This window comes from Homo sapiens, chromosome 6 (genome assembly GCF_000001405.40).
Source record: "Homo sapiens chromosome 6, GRCh38.p14 Primary Assembly".
NCBI classification, from domain to species: Eukaryota; Metazoa; Chordata; class Mammalia; order Primates; family Hominidae; genus Homo; species Homo sapiens.
This window is the reverse complement of record NC_000006.12, coordinates 119,134,365-119,156,582: the sequence shown is the minus strand read 5'-3', so window position 1 is coordinate 119,156,582 and position 22,218 is coordinate 119,134,365. Positions and strand designations below refer to the sequence as shown.

The window sequence follows — 22,218 nt, the reverse complement described above, 5'->3', positions numbered from 1 at the left end:
TCCCCTGTCCCTCAAAGAACTTCTTTCTGCTGGACCTGCCAATCTCTCAGGGAACTGTAACCCACACAACTTCTTTTTTTTATTTTTTGTTATTATTCTTTAAGTTCTAGGGTACATGTGCACAAGGCGCAGGTTTGTTACATATGTATACATGTGCCATGTTAGTGTGCTGCACCCATTAACTCATCATTTACATTAGGTATATCTCCTAATGCTATCCCTCCCCCCTCCTCCCACCCCACGTCAGGCTCCGGAACCCACACAACTTCTAAGAGGAGAGGCGGGTGCTTGGTATTCTGACTCTCTTGACACTCTTCTGAGCCATGTGACCTTCTTGTGCTCCATCCTGTACCATCAGCTGTGTCTTACCATACAAGTCACTCAGCCTCTATCCCACTTGCTGCTGAAGACCATAACCCAGTGGCAGGAAGGATTTACACAGATGTCTTCCTGGTGCACAGCTGGTGTCTATAACCAGTTCTGGATTTTTCACCCTGTGGCAATTTCTACTTGGTTCAGTTAAAATCAATAGCCACTTAGGTTTTTAGATGAGAATGGACTGTCTCTAAATAAATATAAAGATATGCTGTTCCTCATGCTCTGGCATTGCTTATACAACATATTGGACTAAAGTATACCTATCTCCTCTTATTTTTCTTTTTTTACAAGGTCCTCAAACTCCTAGCCTAAGGGATCCTCCCATCTCAGCCTCCCAAAGTGCTGGTGAGCCATGTCACCTGGTCTCCCATCTCCTCTTCTAATGGGCTATTTTAGGCAGCAAGAAGAAAGGATGATCTGCTGCCCCACACTGTCTTTACAGAATCAGCGTGTCCTTGGTTGGGTGCGGTGGCTCACACCTGTAATCCCAGCAGTTTGGGAGGCTGAGGCAAGCAGATCGCCTGAGGTCAAGAGTTTGAGACCAGCCTAGCCAACATGGTGAAACCCCGTCTCCACTAAAAATACAAAACTTAGCCAGGTGTTGTGGCGCATGCCTGTAACCCCAGCTACTTAAGAGGCTGAGGCAGGAGAATTGCTTGAACCCAGGAGGCGGAGGTTGCAGTGAGCCGAGATCACATCACTGCACTTCAGCCTGGGGGACAGAGCGAGACTTTGTCACAAAAAAGAAAAAAAAAAAGAATCAGCATCTCCTTGAGTTTGTATTAGAGCCCAGAGTACTCTTCAGAGGGTTACCAGGGGCATAAACTCAGGGGGTCAGTTCAGTTAGGGCAATAGGTGTTCAGGATGACTGAAAGCTATATAAAAATGCATTTACCTTTTATCCCTTTCACCTAAAGAGTGCACGCCTGAATGGGCTCCATCAATCTCAGCTTTTTCAAAATCCTTCTTTGGCTGTCATGGGAATGTCCAGAGCACCCAGGTTTGGGGTCAGAGGGTGAGGAAGATAGAGGGTTGGATTATAAGCCTGGCTGTGTTAAAGATACAGTTCAGGAGCTGGTCACAAGGCTACAGTATTCAAAAGTATTGGGCCGCTATCTTTCAAGAAAGGACAATCGGCAAACTAACAGCTAGTAACCATGTTCACCTTTACCCAGTGTCACTAATGAAAGGCAGAAAATGCCAGTCTTTACTCAAATACACTGCCCTGAACATCTTAGGAGAAAAAGAAGAGTTTTTCAAATCTATTCTAAGCACATAGTCAGAAATGCAAGCAGGAATTTATATTCAAACTTTTCATTGCTAAATGTCTTTTATAATAGTGAAAAATTAAAACCAAACTACAGTGTAAGTAACAAGAGAAATAGCTAAAATTAAGGCAAATTGATAAGTCAGAATGTTGTATAGCCACTAAACAGGATGTTAAGCCAAAAAAGTTAATGATGTAACAAAATAGTCATGATTATGTAAAAAGCAGGATTTAAAATTATATATGCAATATAAGTTTTTAATTTGACATGAAAGGATTCTGCATCATTATTATTTTCTTCTGTGATTTCCTGATTTTCTGTAACATGTATTATTTGCATAATCTGGAAAAACTAAAAAGAAAACTAGGAATTTTAAGTGGAGAAGAAAGTCACTTCACATAGGATACATTAGATGTTTCTCCAAATAGGTAACTTCCTGACTGATTGAAAATATGATTTAATTTCCATGTACAATTCAATAATTGAACAAATATTTATTAAGTACCTACAATTTGCCAGGTAACTTATTTATCCGTGCAATAAATATTTACTGGAGACTGAGTAAGAGGTATAGGAAATAATAAAATAAATTCTCTTCCCTCTTGGAGCCAAGAATCTGCTAGGAAATGGTGATACTGAGATAAAAGACAAAACTCTCCCCTCAAGTAATGTCACAGTCCAGAAGGAGAGACAGACAAGTTAATAAAAAGTGATGCTGCCCAGCATCAGAGCTAATACTCTGCTAAGGGTATATTAGGGTGTAACCTAAAAAGATCTCCAAAGCGAAAAAGGAAGAGAGCCTGACAGGGGCTGTTGGTCAGCAGCCTAGTCCTCAGCTAGAATACAGGGAGACTTCTCCTGGTTTCTTTCTTTTGACTTCTATTAATTCCCTAATTCATTATCCCCTCCACCCAAGGGGTTTCAACTGTGTTCAAAATAGGTAACTTAGATACCACTTTAAATTAAAAACCAAAAAGATCTGAATTCCCCCTGTTCATACCCACCCCACCACTAAGCAGAAGAATCGGCCACCACCATTTCTTAAGAATACTAAGGAAATCGGGGTTTAACAGCAACAATGACAAAAAGGCCTAGAGACAAGGCAAAGAAAGTTGAGGAAAGAGCCAGCGTTTGTCTTCAGTCTCCACCTTTCCTTTCCACCTCCTAAATGGCTTTTAAACGTCTTCAGTGACACACTGATAAAATCCTACACTTGTGTATCACTTTGCACAGGAGAGTCTTATAGGGTTAGGGTCCCAGAGAGCCTAAATAGAATCTTGAGTCTGGTTTCATGTAATTCACGAGAGACTGGTGACCATTCCCTGCTCAGGTCTGTTTGCACATATTGATGTCTGTGGGAAATTGTTCTTGTTTTGTGCCTGCTGTTATTGTCACTGTTTGTTTGTATTGTGGCTGCAAGAAATAGAGAGATGCAAGGAGATGGAGAAGAGCAGTAAAGGAATGAGAAGAGTCTATGATCAACAAGCAGGGGACAAAAGTCAGGAGAAACTGTTTTTAATGAACATGTCACCTCATTGTACCTAAGTGCTGGTGGGGCTAAGGACATTCAAGTGCCACACATCATCTCTTAGAAGACCTACACTTCTTGGCCAGGTGCAGTGGCTCACACCTGTAATCCCAGCACTTTGGGAAACTGAGGTGGGTAAATCACCTGAGGTCAGGAGTTCAAGACCAGCCTGACCAACATGTTGAAACCCCGTCTCTACTAAAAATACAAAAATTAGCTGGGCGTGGTGGTGCATGCCTGTAATCCCAGCTATTCGGGAGGCTGAGGCAGGAGAATCACTTGAACCCGGGAGGTGGAGTTTGCAGTGAACCGAGATTGCGCCATTGCACTCCAGCCTGGTCAACAAGAGTGAAACTCCAACTCCAAAAAAAGAAAGAAAAAAAAAGACTTAAACTTCTCTCTGATCATGAAAAACCACAAAACAGAAAATCATATTTTCATGTATTTATTAATTCTCAGCTTTCCACCAAAGTTTTGATCTGCTGACCACAGACATCACTGTGACAACATTGAACTTTCAAGGATCTCAGAGTCATATTTAAAGCTTATTTACCAAAACTATGTGGCCCACCCCTCTCCAACATCTGAACATATTTTTCCTTAGTTTTGACTTTTTAGACTCTCTACTATTATGAGTAATTTCGTTGTTCCTGATTCCTTTATTTTATCTTATATTCTTTTCTTGTATGATGTCTGTGGTCAGAAGATCAAAACTTTGGTGGGAAGCTGAGAATTAATAAATACTTGAAAATATGATTTCCAACAATAGCTCCATGAAATAGGTATCCCATGTTGTGTCTCAGTTTTCCAGATGCAGAAGTTAAGGTGACGTGTCAAATTATCTACTGTTGTGTTTTGAGTCTTTTCATGTTAAAAGAGGGTGGTGCTTGCTAGAAAGAAGTGGATCACAACTTGGAATTTCTATAATTGGCGAGAGAGATCTTTGTCTTTCTCATATGCCCATAAGCCTAGTCCTGTCAGCTGATACCATCTTCTTCTTACTAATAAATTACCAGTCTGGCTAAGTAATGAAAAAAAAAATGATGGAAAAAGAACTGTCAGATGATGCAGTGTTTGCTCTGGGAAGTACCAGGGCCACAGAGAGGAGGACCAGTTACTGGAAGAAAAGAAAGAGAGATGGTGGAGAGCGCAGCAGTTTCAAATGAAAAATTAAATTAATTTTAAAATCTAATTTAAAGCAAAATAGAGCAGCAGATGTGGAGGGAGTTGAAACTCCTCCTTGAATTGTATCCCCTAAACTTTCCTGTTCTTTCATTCAGCCTGAACATCATCCTGTTTACACCAAATAGCAAAACTGGATTAATTAAGAAATAAAATACTCCAGACAGTTCATTTCTAGGGATGGTTTGTACACAGCATGTATGAGAGGAAGGAAATGCTTGAAATTTTAATTTCTCCAGAAAAAAAAGACCACCAAGGCTTCCTACCTCAAACTTTAAAAGCATATTTTCCTATAAAGCTGTCCTAATGATCTTTATGTCCCAGAATCAAGTATTAGTAAAATATGTATTTATTTTTGCAGCTTTTTTTTTTTTTTTTTTTTGGAGATGGAGTCTCACTCTTGTTGCACAAGCTGGAGTGCAGTGGCACTATCTCAGCTCACTGCAACATTTGCCTTCTGGGTTCCAGCAATTCTCCTGCCTCAGCCTCCTCAGTAGCTGGGATTACAGGCATGCGCCACCACACCCAGCTAATCTTTTTTTTTTTTTTTTTTTTTTTTTTTTTTTTGGATTTTAGTAGAGATGGGGTTTCCCCACGTGGCCCAGGCTGGTCTCCAACTCCTGAGCTCAGGCAATCCACCCGCCTCAGCCTCCCAAAGTGCTGGGATTACAGGCGTGAGCCACCGCACCTGGCCCACAGCTCATTTATTCTAACACCGAATACTTATTATTGAACCCTTCTATGAGTCAGGAGCTGTACAGGCTTCTCTGCTGTGTAGGTGGTTTTAGAGATTCTGATGGCTTACAGACAGTTAGGATGCCAAGATCCAAACTCAAGTTACAGGCCAGATAGGTTCTGCAAGACTTCTGCACAGTTGTCATCAGTGAGACAGTTCATATCAAGTAATTAAAGAATAAAACTGTTTCCTTTGTGCTGCTGCAGAACAAGTGTTAAAAAAAAAAAGCAGCCACCAAGGAGCCCTGCTATGAATCATGTGCCTTTCATGAGGTGAACTTCCCCTCCCCAGAGATGCGTGAACAGCAAATCAGGAATCCACGTCCCCACACTCGGTACTGCTGGTTTGTCTTGTGTTAGCCATGGATCTGACATCTGCCAAAACACCTCGCAATGTAATCACGGGTGTTGTCTGGTTCTACCCTCACCTTGTATAAAACCATTCTTTATACACTGGCCTTTCTATTTAATAATCTCTGCTCAAGGTATTTAAATGGTCCAAAAATCTAAACAACAGCTTGATCGAAATCTGCTTTTGGATATTCTTTTCTTTTCTGCACATGTTTAAGCATCACAGTGAAAAGTGGGTTCTAGTAACAGGTAGGAGAAACCAGCTGGGAATATTCCTGTGCAAAGCTACTGATTAGAAAAAGTGGTGGCCGGGTGCAGTGGCTCACGCCTGTAATCCCAGCACTTTGGGAGCCTGAGGTGGATGTATCACAAGGTCAAGAGATTGAGACCATCCTGGCCAAATGGTGAAACCCCGTCTCTACTAAAAATACAAAAATTAGCTGGGCATGGTGGTGTGCGCCTATATTCCCAGCTACTCTGGAGGCTGAGGCAGGAGAATCGCTTGAACCTGGGAGGCAGAGGTTGCAGTGAGCCAAGATCATGCCACTGTACTTCAGCATGGTGACAGAGCAAGACTCCATCTCAAAAATAAATACATAAATAAAAAAGATAAAGTGGAGATCTCACTAGCCACATCAACAGCAATAGTGTCGAACATTTACTGGCTGCTTACTAGGAGGCATGCCCTGGGTCACATACATCCATGCTGTATTAGTTTGCTAGGGCTGCCATAACAAAGCACCACCAACTGGGAGCTTAAACAACAGAAATGTATTGTCTCACGGTTCTGGAGGCTAGAAGTCCAAGATCAATGTGTCAGTAGTGCTGGTTCCTTCTGAGGGCTGTCGGGGAGAACCTGTTCCATACCTCTCTCCTAGCATCTTATCGTTTGTTGGCAATTTTGGGCATTTGTTAGCTTACAGATGCCTCATCCTGATCTGTGCCTTCATCTTCACAGTGTTCTCCTTGTGTGGGTACCTCTGTGTCCAAATTTCCTGTTTCTATAAGCACATTAGTTGCACTCGACTAGGGCTCACTCTAATGACTTCATGTTAACTTGATCATCTGCAAAGACTCTATTTCTAAATAAGGTCACCCTACAGGTACTGGGTGTTTGGACTTCAACACGTTTTCTGGGACACAAACCAACCCCTAACACATGCATTGTCTCATTCAGGCTCACACCAGCATCATGAGGCAGGGGCTATGATTACTGACATTACAAACCAAGACGGTGAGACTTAGAAAGCTTTGCTTACGCTTTTCTATTGCATCTACTACAAAGATAGTAGAACTATGGTATGGATGCAGACAGTTTGATGCAAAAAACCATGCTCTTAATCACCACATGAGATTTCCAAAAGAGCATGAGGAACTTTCTCCACCTTTCAGTTGCTTGGCCATAGGTTACACACTGGAGTCATCCACTCTACTCAGAAGAATACTAGCTACCCTTGGTTGAACACCTATTACATACATTACATTATCTCATTTAGTCCCCTAAAAAAACTTAGAAGTTCAGTACTCTTTATCCCAGTTCACAGATAAGCATATTGAAAGTCAAAGAAGTAGAGAGCAGCTGGCCAAGAAAGCAAGAAAGAGTTGAGCCAGGATTCAGGTTGCCCCCGGCCACTACCCATCACCACTTGAGCCTGAAGATGTATTTTCTCCACTGTGCTGTGCTGCCTTTCATGCAAAGCTCAGGGCATACCAGGCTATGATTCACTCACATGAAAAAATCAGAGGTCTGAGTAAATCTCACAGTGCTCATTTTTAAAAGGGTACACAAAAAAATCTCAATTCCAAAGAATTTGGATCAGCCAAGAGAAGGCATGGGAAAATATCAAATGTTTGTATGATTACCTGGGCAACCTTTTCTGTGCTATGTAAATGTGTAATGACTAATCAACCAGGACGGCCAAGGGATTTGTTTCTAGAGATAGGCAATTTTCATTTGTGCCTGTGATTGGCTCAGCTCTGCGTGTGAAGAGGGAAAAGGCTTCCGTTTATTTAGCATAATGATGGACCAAAACAAAAGAAGAAATCATTTCACTCATGCTTAGGTAAGACATTTCCATCTTTCTTAAATCTTTGTGTGTCTATTTTTGTGTTCATAGCAACCGGCAGACTATTTAGAACAGAAATGTGCATGCGTTGAGTACAAAGCGAAGACAGCATTGGGCGGTGGGATGCGTGCTGAAGAGGGATAGCTAATGTTTGGCAAGTGTCAAAAACAAATGGCCATTGATCAGGAAGAATCCTGAGCAAAATAAGATCAAGATTTTCTGGGGGCTATTGACCATTACCAGTTTTCACTTTTCTGACATTCATTAAAAAAAAAAAAATACAGATCCTGATTCCCTGGAGCTTTGCAGTTTGCCAACTTTCTGAGGGCATTGCTAGATTTATAGTGCCATCATGTGGCCACTTCTCAATCTGTTCAAAAATTCTGCTGGATCTAAGCCTGGCAGGATGACTGAATGATTCCAGTTTCATGGTGTTGGGAGGCTTATAGAACAGTGCTGGCTAGTCACACATCTGATGCTGGCAGCAATAGTGTGCTGGGGAAGGGGTTAAGAAAGAAAGAGCTGAGAGGCTCCCTGCAGGCAGAGCAGGGGCGGGACAAAGAGAATCCAGACAGTTGGACTTGGCCGTGGGGACAGGCAGCTGGCAGAGAGGACATTTACCCAGTGGGGGTTAGGGCCATACTAGTGGGCTTGGGTTCATACGCAACACTTTCATCACTGAGAAGAATGTGGCTAGGCTCCAACTCTCGTGGGGTAGGTGGGACTGGGAAATAAAATAGCAACTGGAGCTAAAACCCAGTTACAGTCTTCCCTGGTCACTGGCTCTTAGAAGAAGACAGGCATTCCATGCACCTCACTCAGGAGATCACCAGAAGTCCAGCCAAGCCCTGCCTGGGCTCCTTCCCAGGAAAGTGCTTCTGCTGACACTCTCCTGGCCACGATCTTCTTCCCAGCAGAGGAAGAAATCTTGTCCATATAGGAGAAGTTGAGGTATGGAGTTTCATTGCTAGGCAGGGAACTAGGGTGGGTGGGTTGACAGTAAGCAGGTTATAGGTTCCATGGAAATAGACAAAGACCAACCAAATGAGAAAAAGCAAAGGCTATTTATTCTGAGCTTGCTATAGCAATGAAGTTGGCCACCATCACTTGCATTTTGTCAGAGACCCCATCACAGGCAAAGCACTGGGAAAGCTTTAGAGTGGAAAAAAAGGGAAGTCTTGAGGTGTGCCCTGATGGGAGGCTGTTGGCCTGGGGAAGCTGCAGGTGGGCTAACTGGAAGCAGGGCACACTGTGTGATTGGTTAGGGGTAGGTACAGATTTGGCTTTCTCTGGTTGTTCCTAAATTTAAAATGGTGACAAAAGTTAGGGAAGCTGTCCGTTATTAATCAGGTCCTGGCCATTTCTGGCTGATTGTTACAGAAGTTATTGTTCAGCTTCCTGGATTGTCACCAGAGACAGCAGCCTGGCTTCCTACAAGTCTGAGTTCGAGCAGGCTGACTTCCTGGGTTATTTATTGTACATAAGGGGGTTGGTTTCCTTCTCTGGTACAGAGAGTGGGTCAAAGATCTATTTTTACATGTGGTCTGGTCTGTTTCTAGATTCAGTCTATCATCTCTGAGTCATCCCTGCTATGACTCAAGCAAGGATCAGCCTGGCAAGAGGTGGTGGGGGTTGGGAGCCCTCATCTTATGTCAGCAAACAATGAGGAGTTGGAATTGGCAAAAGGCCCCACCCACCCCACCCTATCCCCAGTCAGAATCAAGTCTTCAAGGGGACAGGACCAGTTGGAAGCCCAGCGGTTAATACCAGGTTGTATCATCGATCAGACCCACAGCTAGGATGCACCCACGCTAAACCCTCTTCCAGCCACTACTATGTAGCTGAAGCAACTTGATTATTTGCTGCCTTAGTCATGACTGGATGAGGAACTTGGAAGAGACTTCAGATTCAGGAGAAAGAGGAGGAAGTGGTGCTTGTGTTCGTGGTATTGATGTTAGGGTGGCACATTTTGTAGGCATCTGGGAGACAAAAAAACAAAAAAAAAAAAAACAGAGCCTGCCACTGCCCCCGCTGGATGTCTTAGTGCCTCTAACTAGGGTTTGGGGCCCTGGCTCTATCCTGATAATAAACTACATTTGTTTTTTTCTGGAATGTAGTGACTATCATGTGGAAAGGGCAAGAGCTATAAATGCAAGCCTGGGGGTGCACATCTCTGGGAGGAAACCCTGGGTACAGGCACTCCTTTTTAATTCAAGGAGAGTTGGAAGAGCTCCAATCTGTGCACCAGGGGAGAGGGTGACTATTCCTTTCCTGCTAGTGATTTTAACTCTACTCCCATTTTTACAGCATCTCTCATCTGGGAAAAGATACATGTCGACCAACAACCCCCATACTATGCTGACATTATTCCTTATTTGTCAAATTCATATGAGCCAATTGGTGACACCGAAACCCTAGTTATAGCAAAACTGACTGTATTATGAATAGTATCTGGAAATGGGAAAATATGGGTGATTTAAGCTAGGCATAGTGGCTTATACTGGTAGTCCTTGCTACTTGGAAGGCTGAGGCAGGAGGATCGCTTGAGCCCAGGAGTTCAAGGCTGCAGTGGGCTGTGATCACGTCACCACACTCCAGCCTGGGTAACATAGCGAGCCTCTGTCTCCAAATAAACACACACACACACACACACACACACACACACACACACACACACGTAAGTTAATCGGGAAAGGCACTGAAGAGCAGATGGTATATAATTTTTCTCATTTCTAGCAGTCTTGTTCTGTGTGAACATGTGGAGCACACTGCGGGCCAGTGTGGAATGTACAGAGTTCCCCAAATTTCAGTCATTAATTTTGGCCATATCTATACTCAGCCTACATAGTTCCTCAATGTTTTCCTTTAAATTTATTTATTTATTTTTAATTATATTTATTTTGAAAGGGAAATTATATCACTATTGAAAATGAAAAGTCAATATCACCTGTCATAAATAGAAGGTAATCCTAACTATAAATACATAACTAAACAAATCAAACTCTTCACCCATAGACTGTCCCCAGATGGTCTCCTATGCCGCTAGTGGTACTAGTGCCACATTTGGGGAAATACCTGTGCAATACTAGTTAAGAGCTCTGGCTCTGGTGTCAGATTGCCTCGGTTCAACTTCTAGCTGTAAAATCATGTGCAAATATTTAGCCTCTGTAAGTCTGATTTCCTTCCCTGTAAAAATCATGTTTTTGCTTAATGGAGCTGATGTGAAGATTCAGTGAGATGATACCTAAAGATTTAGCACAATGCCTGGTATATGATAAACAATAAATATTAATATTAGCTGTCACTGTTATCAGTATGATTACTATTATCCTTTTGAATTGGGTCACTGGTGCATAACTCTTCCTAATAGTTGGTCCTCAAAACACTCACGCCTTATTTGTGGAGAGGAATGTGGTTGAAATATACAGAGGATGGATGCCTTAAAAGATTTGCAGACTACTGAAAATAAGAAACCAAGCCAAAGGGCCTTTCATGTCAAAAACGCCAGCCAGTGAGGCAGTGAACCTAAGTGTATCAACCAACTTTTCACTTTTATTTTTGATATTATTTGCTGTTTCCTAGCCCCTTGGTTCTCTGTGGTATTTTTTTCCTGGCACTCACTGAGTCAGAGTCCCAGCAGGAATCAGATCGTACCCAAAGGAGTGATTGAAGGGTTTAATGACAGAAGGGTGTATTTGCAGAAGTGTGGGTAAGAGCTAAAGAAGCCAATAAAAGATAGTTATCTCCCAGGGCCTAGCAACAACAGGAAGCTCTTACACCCCTACAGCCTAGCAGACAATGGGAGGAAGCTGTTGCTGCAACCTGGGGAGAGAGGTGGCCATGATAGGCCACTCCACCCAACCCTCCACAGGGGTCTCGATGTTGGTAGGGACCAGCAGAGAGGGAGCAGAGAGAATACCTGCCATGGATGGATTCTCCTCCTGCCTGCCAATCTCTGGCCAGTGCCACTCAAGAACAAACCAGCTGCAGCTACAGCACAAGGGAAGCACTGGACATGCCATGCCTAGAGGTCAGCAGAGAAGGGTGGAGAGTGGACCTGGAGAGCCAGACAGAGAAGGACCAATACATTTATCACATAACGCGATGATGTTGCTTGATCTATGATGCCCTTTTGCACTCTGTAAACTCTCAGTAGAATTAGTTGCAGACATTAAGTAAATCAGACTGTGAATGTGTATGTCAGTGACACAAAGACAAGCAGGGGTGCAAACAAAATAGAGGCATATACCACCCATCTACCACCCCCTAGGCCAGGGGGCACGTCACGGGAGCTGGCAGCAGCTCAGCACTGTCTCCCATTTCTTAGCCAGAGCTCTGCTACTAAGCAGCATGCTTTTGGAGGCAGGGACAGTCCATAGAAAAGACTCTCATGACTTTTATCTTCACCACAAGCTAGCAAAATAAAGAAGAAATGCAATTAGAATCGCTCACCTACTAGCAAAGAAAGAGTTTGTTCCCCAAGTCTTTTGAGAAAAGAACCTAGCACTGTCAGTCTCAGGAGCAGATGCTAAACACCTGAGCCACGCTGACTCTAACAGCAGTTTGGACTAACAGTGGCAGAGTGTGTGCCGGCGTGAAGGGCAAAGCCAGCACCTGTCAGAGCTGTCGGCTTCCAGGCCCCACTGGAGCAATTTAGGCAGCCCCCTTTCTGTGAATGCTTCCATAGGACGCAAGTCCCAGGCAGGCAGAAAAAATATTTTCTTTTTTTTTTTTTTTTTTTGAGTCAGAGTCTCGTTCTGTGGCCCAGGCTGGAGTGCAGTGGCACTATCTCAGCTCACTGCAAGCTCCGCCTCCCAGGTTCACGCCATTCTCCTGCCTCAGCCTCTCGAGTAGCTGGGACTACAGGCGCCCGCCACCACACCCGGCTAATTTTTTTTTTTTTGTATTTTTAGTAGAGACAGGGTTTCACTGCGTTAGCCAGGATGGTCTCGATCTTCTGACCTCGTGATCCACCCGCCTCGGCCTCCCAAAGTGCTGGGATTACAGGCGTGAGAAACAATATTTCCTTGAATGAGGAAACCAGCCTGTTCTATCAGACTGCCTTCTCACATCTAGGCCAAGCTAATAATGCTGTTATCAGAAAAAGCCCCATGCACATCTCTTTCTCTCTCTCTCTTTTTAAATGTTGTACAATGCACATATAAAATTTACCATCTTAATCAAGTTTAAGTATACAGTTCAGTATTGTTAACTACACTGGCATTGTTGTCAAACCAATCTCCAGTACTCTTTCTTCTTACAAAACTGAAACTCTAAACCCATTAAATAATTCCTAATTCTCATCTTGGATTAGCCTACTCTAGATGCCTCTCATCCAAGTGGGATCGTACAGTGTGTGTCCTTTTGTGACTGGCTTATTTCACTTAGCGTCATGTCCTAAAGGTTCATTTAAGCTGTAGCATGTGTCAGAACGTCACTCCTTCTTAAGGCTGGATAATATTCTATTCATGTAGAGGCCACATTTTGTTTATCCATTCATCTGCTGTGGGATACTTCGATTGTTTCCACCTCTTGGCTATTGTGAATAATGCTGTGTACACGAGTGCACAAATATCTCTTCAAGACCCTGATTTTGATTCTTTTTGAGCATATACCCAGATGTGGAATTGCTGCACATCTTTTGTTTTACTCACCTCCATGCCAACTGTTTTCAGAGATATAGATTAGTGGATTTTCTGAACAGGACAATGTGGGCTTCTCTGCATCTCATAAAGCAAGTTCATGTTGGGGGAAGGATCTAGGATTTGAAGTCACAACCCTGGATTTTAATTCTCTATGTTAATCATTTACCAGCTGTGCAATCTTAGGCAATTTCTTTAACATCTCTGAAACCTGTGTTTGTTTCTCCTACTAAAGGAATAATCATGGTATTAGCTTCCTAGAGATGCCTCAACAAAGTACCAAAAACAGGGTACCTTAAAACAACACAAACGTATTCTTTCACAGTTCTGAAAACTAAAAGCTGAAAATCAAGGTACCAGCAGGATTGGTTCCTTCTTAGGAGCCCTTAGGGAGAATCTGCCCCATACCTCCCTCCTAGTTTCTGGTGATTCCCAGAAACCCCTGGTGCCCTCAGCTTATAGCTATATATCGCCATTGTTTGCCATCTTCCTTTTGAGTGTCTGTGTTCTCACTTGGCGTGCTTTTTCTGTGTGTGTCTAAATTTCCCTCATTTTATCCGGTCAGCAATAATTGGATTGGGGCTATCCTAATCCAGTATAACTTCATCCTAACTTGATTACATCTACAAAGACCCATTTCTAAATAAGGTCACATTCACAGCTGCTGAGGTTAGGACTTCAACATATCTTTCGGGGAGACACAATTCAACCACAACACTCCTCCTCCAGGAGGTCTATGAGAATTAAGTGCATTTTGTAGATGCTGAGGCTTCGTACTGGAGAGGAGTAATGGACATGGCTAAACTGACATTTAGCTTGTTTGTCTTCTGAATGCAAGAACGTCCTTCTCCCTGTGCTGCTTGACTCGCGATGTTAAATCCATACTTGTTTTTTTGAGTTCCACTCTAGTTCCAACTGGGTCTGCATTCACTGTGAGTTGTTAAATGTTCAATGTCGTTTTCATACCTGGGAGGATGAAGAATGTTAAGTGTGGACTTCAGTAGATCAAGCCTGGTTTTAGAAACTTTCTAATTGTTGTGGCCTTTGGTCTCTGAAGAATACACCCTCTGCTGCATTGCGTTATCCTCCTTGTCCTAGAAGAAACAGTGCGCCTGGGATGATCTTGGGAAGTGACACCATCAGGGCTTCGAGGTCATTACGTCCTTTCCCGGCCGACTCAGTAGTCACCACATCCATAAATACCACACCCTAGAGAGGCTTGGGCTGCCTAGCTGATATATTGTCTTCAGATGTTCGCCCGAGTCCTGCATAACATTCTCCAAGCTGGGGCATACAAAATAGATTTGCTGGGAGCAGGGATGGGAATGATTAACTCTCAACGCTTTAACTATATTGCTGCTAAATGGCTGACATACCCAGGTGCCCTGCACTCTAGAGGAATAACCATTCTCAAACATATGAAAATCAGCATTTATAGAAGAGATACAATTAAGGGGTGATTATTTGGGCTTAGACAGGATTTGTTGTGTGATTCCTTTAAGGAGATGATGTAAGAAAATAATAAAGTATTTTTACTTCAAATTTCTCTGAGCTCCTCTATTGGAATAGGTGCTACTGAATATTTATCACACAGCTTCTTTCCACAACATGCAGCTCTGGGGCCCCAAGATGTACTTTTTTTTTAAGGAGCACAGGGGCCGGGCACAGTGGCTCACACCTGTAATCCCAGCACTTTGGGAGGCCAAGGTAGGTGGATCATTTGAGGTCAGAAGTTCAAGACCAGCCTGGCCAACATGGTGACACCTCATCTCTACTAAAAATACAAAAACTAGCCGGGCATGGTGGCACACACCTGTAGTCCCAGCTACTCGGGAGGCTGAGGCAGGAGAATCGCTTGAACCTGGGAGGCAGAGACTGCAGTGAGCCAAGATCGCGCCACTGCCTGGGCGACAGAACCAGACTCTGTCTCAAAAAAAATAAAATAAAATAAAATAAAGGAGTTCAGGCAAAGGATTCCCTGGATCCTCCCCCCGCCCACGCCATGCAGCAGGCAGCAGCCCTGCATCCAGGCCCCTCCGGTTGGTGCCAACGCTGCACTCGACTGTCGAGCTGCAACCAGCCAGAAGGAAGAAGTGACAAACTCAGTGACACAAACTTCTCAGAGGCTTGGACAGGGCCACCTGGTGATTTATTTACAGAGGCATCTTTGCTGTAAGATCAACACCAGGGCAATTCGACTAGGCAGGTTGCTAAACCCTAAGGCAAAGACTGAGTTTTAAAGTGTTGTTATTTTATGCTCTCTGGGTCTAGTTAGTTTTAATGAGCTGTGGCTCTCTAGTAAAAGAATTAAAGAGCAATTTCTAATATGACCAAATCTTAGAAAAGGACTTGAGATGCAAATGGTTACATTCTCCTTTGTCCCTATCACCTACTCCGGGTCATATAAAGTAGCCTTGGCTTCCACATATCCCAGAAGACAGAACATCAGGTGGCTTATCTCCAGTTGTCAACGCCTGCTTAATGCTACTAATAGCATAAGTAATTTTGCTGGAAAGCCTGGGGAGGATTCCTCCATTTATTACCTAGTGAATCAATTCTAGCGTTAATAGAAAAGACAGTGGCTGTAGACCACGATGCAAAATAAAGTGCTGTGTGTAAATCCTAGCAGGGTTCTCATACCAGGATTCTGAAAGAGAAAGAGAGACCCTCCCTCGCCTCCCTTTCACCGGTTTTCCTGCTTGGAGTGTGGGAAAGGAGACTCAATTTCTGGCAGAAGCAGCCTCTGTTCTGCTGGTGCCCTTGAGACTTCAAACTGCAACAGCAGAGAAGGAAGGCGAGGGAACCAGATTGCAGGCATTGTGTTGCCAGTGGTTGAAAGGTGCGGATGAGATGATGCTGATTACAAGGACTGAAAGAAAGCGGAGAGCATGGTTCCGAAAATGGCTGAGAAAGGAAGAAAGAAACGCCCTGTGAGTTTGGGAAAGTGAATATTGCATATTGGGTAGCTCCTGTGCATTTGTCCTTCAAAGGTGAGGCCCATCCTGTCTGAAGTCAGTTTCACTGCTTCTCCCAGGGGCTCTCTCATGAGGCCAGGGAAAGTGGAGAATCATTTTCACTGAAGAAGCAAATCTGATCAGACAACCCACTAGCATGGGAAATGGCAAACAATAAAGACACGTGGCCAGAAAATGCATTCTCCTGCTCCCCTTTCTTGGTACTCCCTTACATCCTCAATGTCCTCTCCCTACCACACCCAAGGCAACTCATGAGGGCAGACTGCACCATTTTCCTCCTGGATGACCTTGCCTTCTTGAACATTCTAGTACCCAAGCTCCCTCTTAAGCCCACTTTCACCCACACATATTTTTTTACTAATCCGTTTTACAGATGAAGACCCACACATTTTTAGCAACTCCCCACTGCCAGTCCTTAAGCCCTCTCACTCAGCGGCCTGAGGTCCAAGCCACCCTGGGCAGCCCCAGCAAGGCGCCACTGCTCAAAGCTGGGGAGTGAGCACAGATGATGGCAGCAGCTGCAGAATTCACTCACATCTCACACACTTGTGCATCTGAAAGGGTTAATTTTTCACTTGCTGTGATTGAATTGGCAGTTTCTTACCTGGAATCAGGAAACTCTAGTCATTTGCTCGAAGGAAAAAAAAGAGGACGTGAAGACAACCCTTTGCTTCTTTTTCAAAGCTGCTTTTCTAAAAGTGCCAGAGAGAGAGATTTGTAAAACTACAGCCTGGACCCTGACAATGAAATGCCAATTAATTTAGTTTTAAATGGGTCACCAAATATCCCCAGTGGTTTTTTTTTTTTTTTACTTTAAATATACAACATTATGAGAACGTATAATACTTTAAGAAATTGCTGAGAATCTTGTCTCCCATGAGGAAATAAGTTCCATATCTTTTCTTATTCACTTGAATTTTTTCCTGTCTCTGCTGTAAAACATGTCAGGGATTTTCTTTAAAGTGCCTAATTTTTCTCCCCACGAGTATCCCTGTAGGTAGGAAATCTTCCTCGACAGAGCACTCACAGTTAAAGATTTCCAGATACTGGCTGGAATATTCTGAGAACAGTGAGTTAAGTGTGATAACCAGAAACAAACTGCTGGGCCCTTCTCCCCAGCCGCTCCAGAGAGGCCTGTGGTTTTGACACTTGACTTTCTAATAAAGAGCAAGCTCTCTGGGCTTCTTTTGAAACTCTTCAGGCACCAGAGAAAGAGGCTGATTTAGCTTTGGTTGTCCCTGTGTTTCAGTCACTTTACTGCTTAGTTATCCACTGAGAACAAAACTAAAAGGAAAGCAGATAAAACCACTTCTGTTTCATGATTTGAGCTACATGGGGAGAGGAGTGGGCAGGACCAAGCCCCATCCCCAGAGAGGTCCACGTCCTGGCCCCCAGAACCTGTGAAATCTGCTACCGTGCATGACAAAGGGGCCTCTGCAGATGAGATTCAGTGAAGGATCTTGAGATGGGGAGGTTTTTTAGATTATTCCGGTAGGCCTGATATAACCACAAGAATCATTATAAATGAAAGGGGCTGGGTGCGGTGGCTCATGCCTGTAATCCCAGCATTTTGGAGGCCGAAGAGGGCAGATCACCTGAGGGCAGGAGTTCAAGACCAGCCTGACCAACATGGAGAAACCCCGTCTCTACTAAAAATACAAAATTAGCCAGGCGTAGTGGCACATGCCTGTAAATCCCAGCTACTCAGGAGGCTGAGGCAGGAGAATTGCTTGAACCCAGGAGGCGGAGGTTGCGGTGAGCCAAGATCGCCCCATTGCACCCCAGCCTGGGCAGCAAGAACCAAACTCCGTCTCAAAAATAATAATAATAATAATAATAATAATAATAATAATAATAATAATAAGTGAAAGAGCGAGGAAGGAGAGAGTGTGTCAGAGTGGTGAAATGTGAGAAAGACTTGACTGGCCATTGCTGGCTTTCAGGATGGAGGGCAGCCATGTGCCAGGAAGGCAGGTCGCTTCTAGAAGCTGGTAAGGTAAGGAAATGAATTCTCCCCAAGAGCTTGCATAATCAGCCTTGAGAATGTCTTCATTTTAGCCCAGTGAGACACATTTTGGACTTCTGACCCCTAGAACTTTAAGATAATACATTGGTGCTGTTTTAATCCAAGTTTGCGGTAATTTGTTATAGCAGCAGCAGGAAACTAACAAAGGAAGGAAATTGAAAAACAGTACTTTCTATTAAAGAAATCAGTGAACTCCAGATCCCAAAGTAGTCATTTGAATTTGGGTAGCTCACATATCTCACTTGATCCTACAACAACTGCACTCCCCCAATCCTCATGCTCTCATAGCATTCTATATGTTTCCTTCATAGTATGTATCACTGACTTCTCAATACCTAGCACAAAACTTGAAAGACAGCAATGCACACTCATGGCATAAAAGAACTTACTGAAAGTTAGTGATTTCCCTAAATTCATATAGCTTGTCTAAGTGCCGGAGCTAGGGATAGAACACAGCTGTTCTGACTTCCACATCTGTCTGCTATTCCACCCGGCCTTGCTAAGAATTTCTGTTGGGGTATCTGCAAGACAGAAGAGGAAACACTACAAAGACTGGAGCAGTGACTGCTGTGGAGCTGAACTACAGAATAGTAATAGACTCAAACAAGCCAGCCTGGCACGTAGACATCGGAGACAGGGCCTTGGCTCTGAGGACAGGGTTTCTTGGTCCAGGAGGAGGAGAGACAGGACTGCCAACAGCAGTAAACCCCATAGAACCTGACAAACCCCTGACAGATGACTCAGGAAATGGCTGGTGCTCACTCACTGGATTTTGCAATCATATTTGTGCATAAGAATGAGAAGATTATCAAAAATGAGTTAGCAAATTCTGAGTCCCATAGTAGGTGCCTACTGTGGACTGAATGGTGTCCTCTGAAAATTCTTATGTTGAATCCCTAACCCCCAATGTGACTGTATTTGGAAATAAGGTCTTTAGAAGGTAATTAAGATTAAATGAGGTCCAATTGTGACTGTATTTGCAGATAGGGCTTTTAGGAGATGATTAAGGTTGAATGAGGACATATGGGTGGGGTCCTAATCTGATAGGACTGGTTTTATAACAAAATGGAGAAAGAGCTCTTCCTCTCTCTTATCTCTCTTCTCTCTCTCTGTCTCTCTCTATCTGGCGTGCACACACACACAAGCATACACACACATACACACACACACAGAAGAAAGACCATGTGAGGTCACAGTTAGAAGGCAGCTCTCTGCAAGCCAAGAAGAGAGCCCTCACCAGAACCAGACTAGGCTGGCACCCTGATCCCAGATTTTCAGCCTCCAGAACTGTGAGAAAATAAATTTCTACTTTAAACAGTCTGTCACCTAGTCTATAGTTTTTTGTGATGGCAGCTGAGCAGACTGGGACAGTGCCCAGATGTTTGTAGCACTAATATAAATTGTACAATTATTCTGGATAAGAAGATTACAGCAAAATTAATTTCTGCTAAAGAGGTTATAGTAGCTATCTGCAATTTTGCCAGTCCAGCATCAATGTCCCCATTTTTTTAGTAACAGCATCTTGGTTTTCCTTTGGACAATCCCAGACTTCTCCCAGCACCATGTCAACCCTCTTACTGTAGCCGTCTTGGTGGAACTGTCAATTATGCCATACTTTTCTCTTGCCAAGAAACGGGCATGTGGCCCAAACCAGGCCAGACAGTAGCAGGAATTTGAAAGTTAAGCACAGTGACACAAGAATTGAAAAAATACTGAAGCGAGTTTATTTTCATGATAGTATCTAGGAACAAATACTGCCCGACAAGTCCCATTATCTAGATTCCTGGAGCTACCCTAATTCCTACCCTTTCCAAAGCCTGGTTGGTCAGTTGCTTCTTCAATTTAATGAAACAGTCCATAAACTTCCAAAAAATCTTTTCTAGTTTGAACTAGTCAGATTTGGATTTGGTTGCTTCCACCCAAAAAACTCTCAGTGACACATGGGTCTATCAAATCTGCGCTGCCAATTTTTTTAATGCCAATAAATTATCTTGATATCATTATGCAACTAAAATACATACACATATTGAAAGATATCTATAATTGGGCAAGAATTTTACTTTTACAATTTTAGTGATTAGTATACACATTAGAAAAAAATGTGGTATACTTCTGGAAATATTCTTTTTTTTTTTTTTTTTTTTTTTGAGACGGAGTCTCGCTCTGTCGCCCAGGCCGGACTGCGGACTGCAGTGGCGCAATCTCGGCTCACTGCAAGCTCCGCTTCCCGGGTTCACGCCATTCTCCTGCCTCAGCCTCCCGAGTAGCTGGGACTACAGGCGCCCGCCACCGCGCCCGGCTAATTTTTTGTATTTTTAGTAGAGACGGGGTTTCACCTTGTTAGCCAGGATGGTCTCGATCTCCTGACCTCATGATCCACCCGCCTCGGCCTCCCAAAGTGCTGGGATTACAGGCGTGAGCCACCGCGCCCGGCCTGGAAATATTCTTTCTGCTTTTTTTTTTGGCAGGAAAACCCTAATATTTAGGGCCATCTGGGTAACAACAGAGTTGATAAGATTTCTATTCTGAAACATTTGAACATTTAGGAGAATAAAAAGAATAATATATATTTTAATATTTTAATACTAAAATGCTACAGACCTAAAAAATAGTAGAATTCACCTGGTGAATCAATTTCAACCAAATTCTAATCTTCTTTTGCGTGAAGTATGGATCTGAGCTTATTATTCTAGTTTAGCTCTTCTCTGAGGGAATTCTGAGAACAAATTACCAAGACTTTTGTAGTAACATTTGTGAACTGTGGAAACTCAACTCTCTTTTCCAGGCTCAGTCCATTTATACTTTTCTATTCTGACAGGGAGGAATGGAAGATGGGGAGATGCTTGATGTGTTGTGATGAATATTTAAGAACATTCATTCACTCACTGAAATAGCCCTTCCATTTTAAATTATGTCTTTTTGAAGGAATACTGTAATTTTTTTATTGTGAAGCATATCATTTTTACAAAAAGATTGTCTAAAATGTATCTGTAGAGTTTAAAGAATAATAATAAGCTCTTAATGGTCTTTGGGAAACACAGCATTACCAATTCTTTAGAGCCTTTTGTGTGTTCCTCTCCATTTACTTCCTGATCCCTCTCCCACAGATGTAACTACCATTCTGTATTGGGTATTGACCATTCTCTTTTCTGTATATTTTTATGTCATATATATGGCTCGCTAAAAAAATATATTGTGCACATTCCTTTGCAACTTGAGTCTTTTGTTTAATATTGTTTTCTAGGTTGATACATGTACCTGTAGTTCATTCGTTTTGCATTACTCAGTAGTATTTCACTGTATAAGTATACCACAATTAGTTTATCCATTTATGTATTATTTATTACTTTTTGTTCTTAAGAGTAAGGCTTCTGCAAACATGTTTTCTAGTGCATATGTACGAAAGTATTTTTAAGGAACGTACTAGGAGGGAATTGCTGGATCAAAAGTTAGGCACAGGTTCAACTCTCCAATATGCAAAATGCAATATTGCAAAAATTTCTGGACATGGTTATAGGAGTTTATATTCCCACAAGCAGGGGATAGTGTTTCCATTGCTCCACACCCTTGGATTGAGGAGAGCCAACATGATTTAATGCCCCTGGAACCTCTCTCTCCCCAGAAAGATGTCAAGAGGATGGAGGACTCACATTCTGTTAACTCTTCTGCCTGTGAGTTTTTCCCATGTGATCTCAGTGAGTATATTGTGTCCTTTTATGATAAGAAGTGATACACTTTTTTTTCTTTTTTTATTTCTTTCTCTTTTTTTTTTTTTTTTGAGACAAGGTCTCATTCTGTCACCTAGGCTAAAGTGCAGTGGCATGATCATGGCTCACTACAGCCTCGACCTCCTGGGCTCAAGTGATCCTCCTGCTTCAGCCTCCTGAGTAGCTGGGATTACATGTGTACATCACCATGCCCAGCTAATTTACTTTTATTTTTTGGAGAGGTAGGGTCTCTCTACATTGCTCAGGCTGGTCTCAAACTTCGGGACTCAAGCAATCCTCTCATCTTGGCACCCCCCGCAATAGACTTTTAAATTTGTATCAATCTATTAGATGTGCAAT

General features: G+C 42.9%; 1 protein-coding gene across 2 annotated transcripts in view, besides 2 other annotated features; it reads left to right on the top strand.

The window, feature by feature from the left end:
* Positions 1-7,454: 7,454 nt before the first annotated feature.
* The window catches only part of FAM184A (family with sequence similarity 184 member A), a 189,366-nt gene continuing 174,602 nt past the window's right edge, over positions 7,455-22,218 (top strand). For both annotated transcript variants that reach the window (NM_001288576.2, NM_001100411.3), the window contains exon 1: positions 7,455-7,505. The gene's annotated coding sequence lies outside the window, so the exon portion shown is untranslated. The remainder of the gene's footprint in view (positions 7,506-22,218) is intronic.
* Positions 9,069-9,138: an enhancer, noted in NCBI's record as "active region_25016". NCBI's record gives its function as "activates an Ori minimal core promoter by ATAC-STARR-seq in GM12878 lymphoblastoid cells {active_cell/tissue: GM12878}" and the evidence as "EXISTENCE:reporter gene assay evidence [ECO:0000049][PMID:35858748]".
* Positions 19,085-19,379: a silencer, noted in NCBI's record as "tiled region #12550; HepG2 Repressive non-DNase unmatched - State 10:DNaseD". NCBI's record gives its function as "represses a minimal TATA promoter and a strong SV40 promoter by Sharpr-MPRA in HepG2 cells {active_cell/tissue: HepG2}" and the evidence as "EXISTENCE:reporter gene assay evidence [ECO:0000049][PMID:27701403]".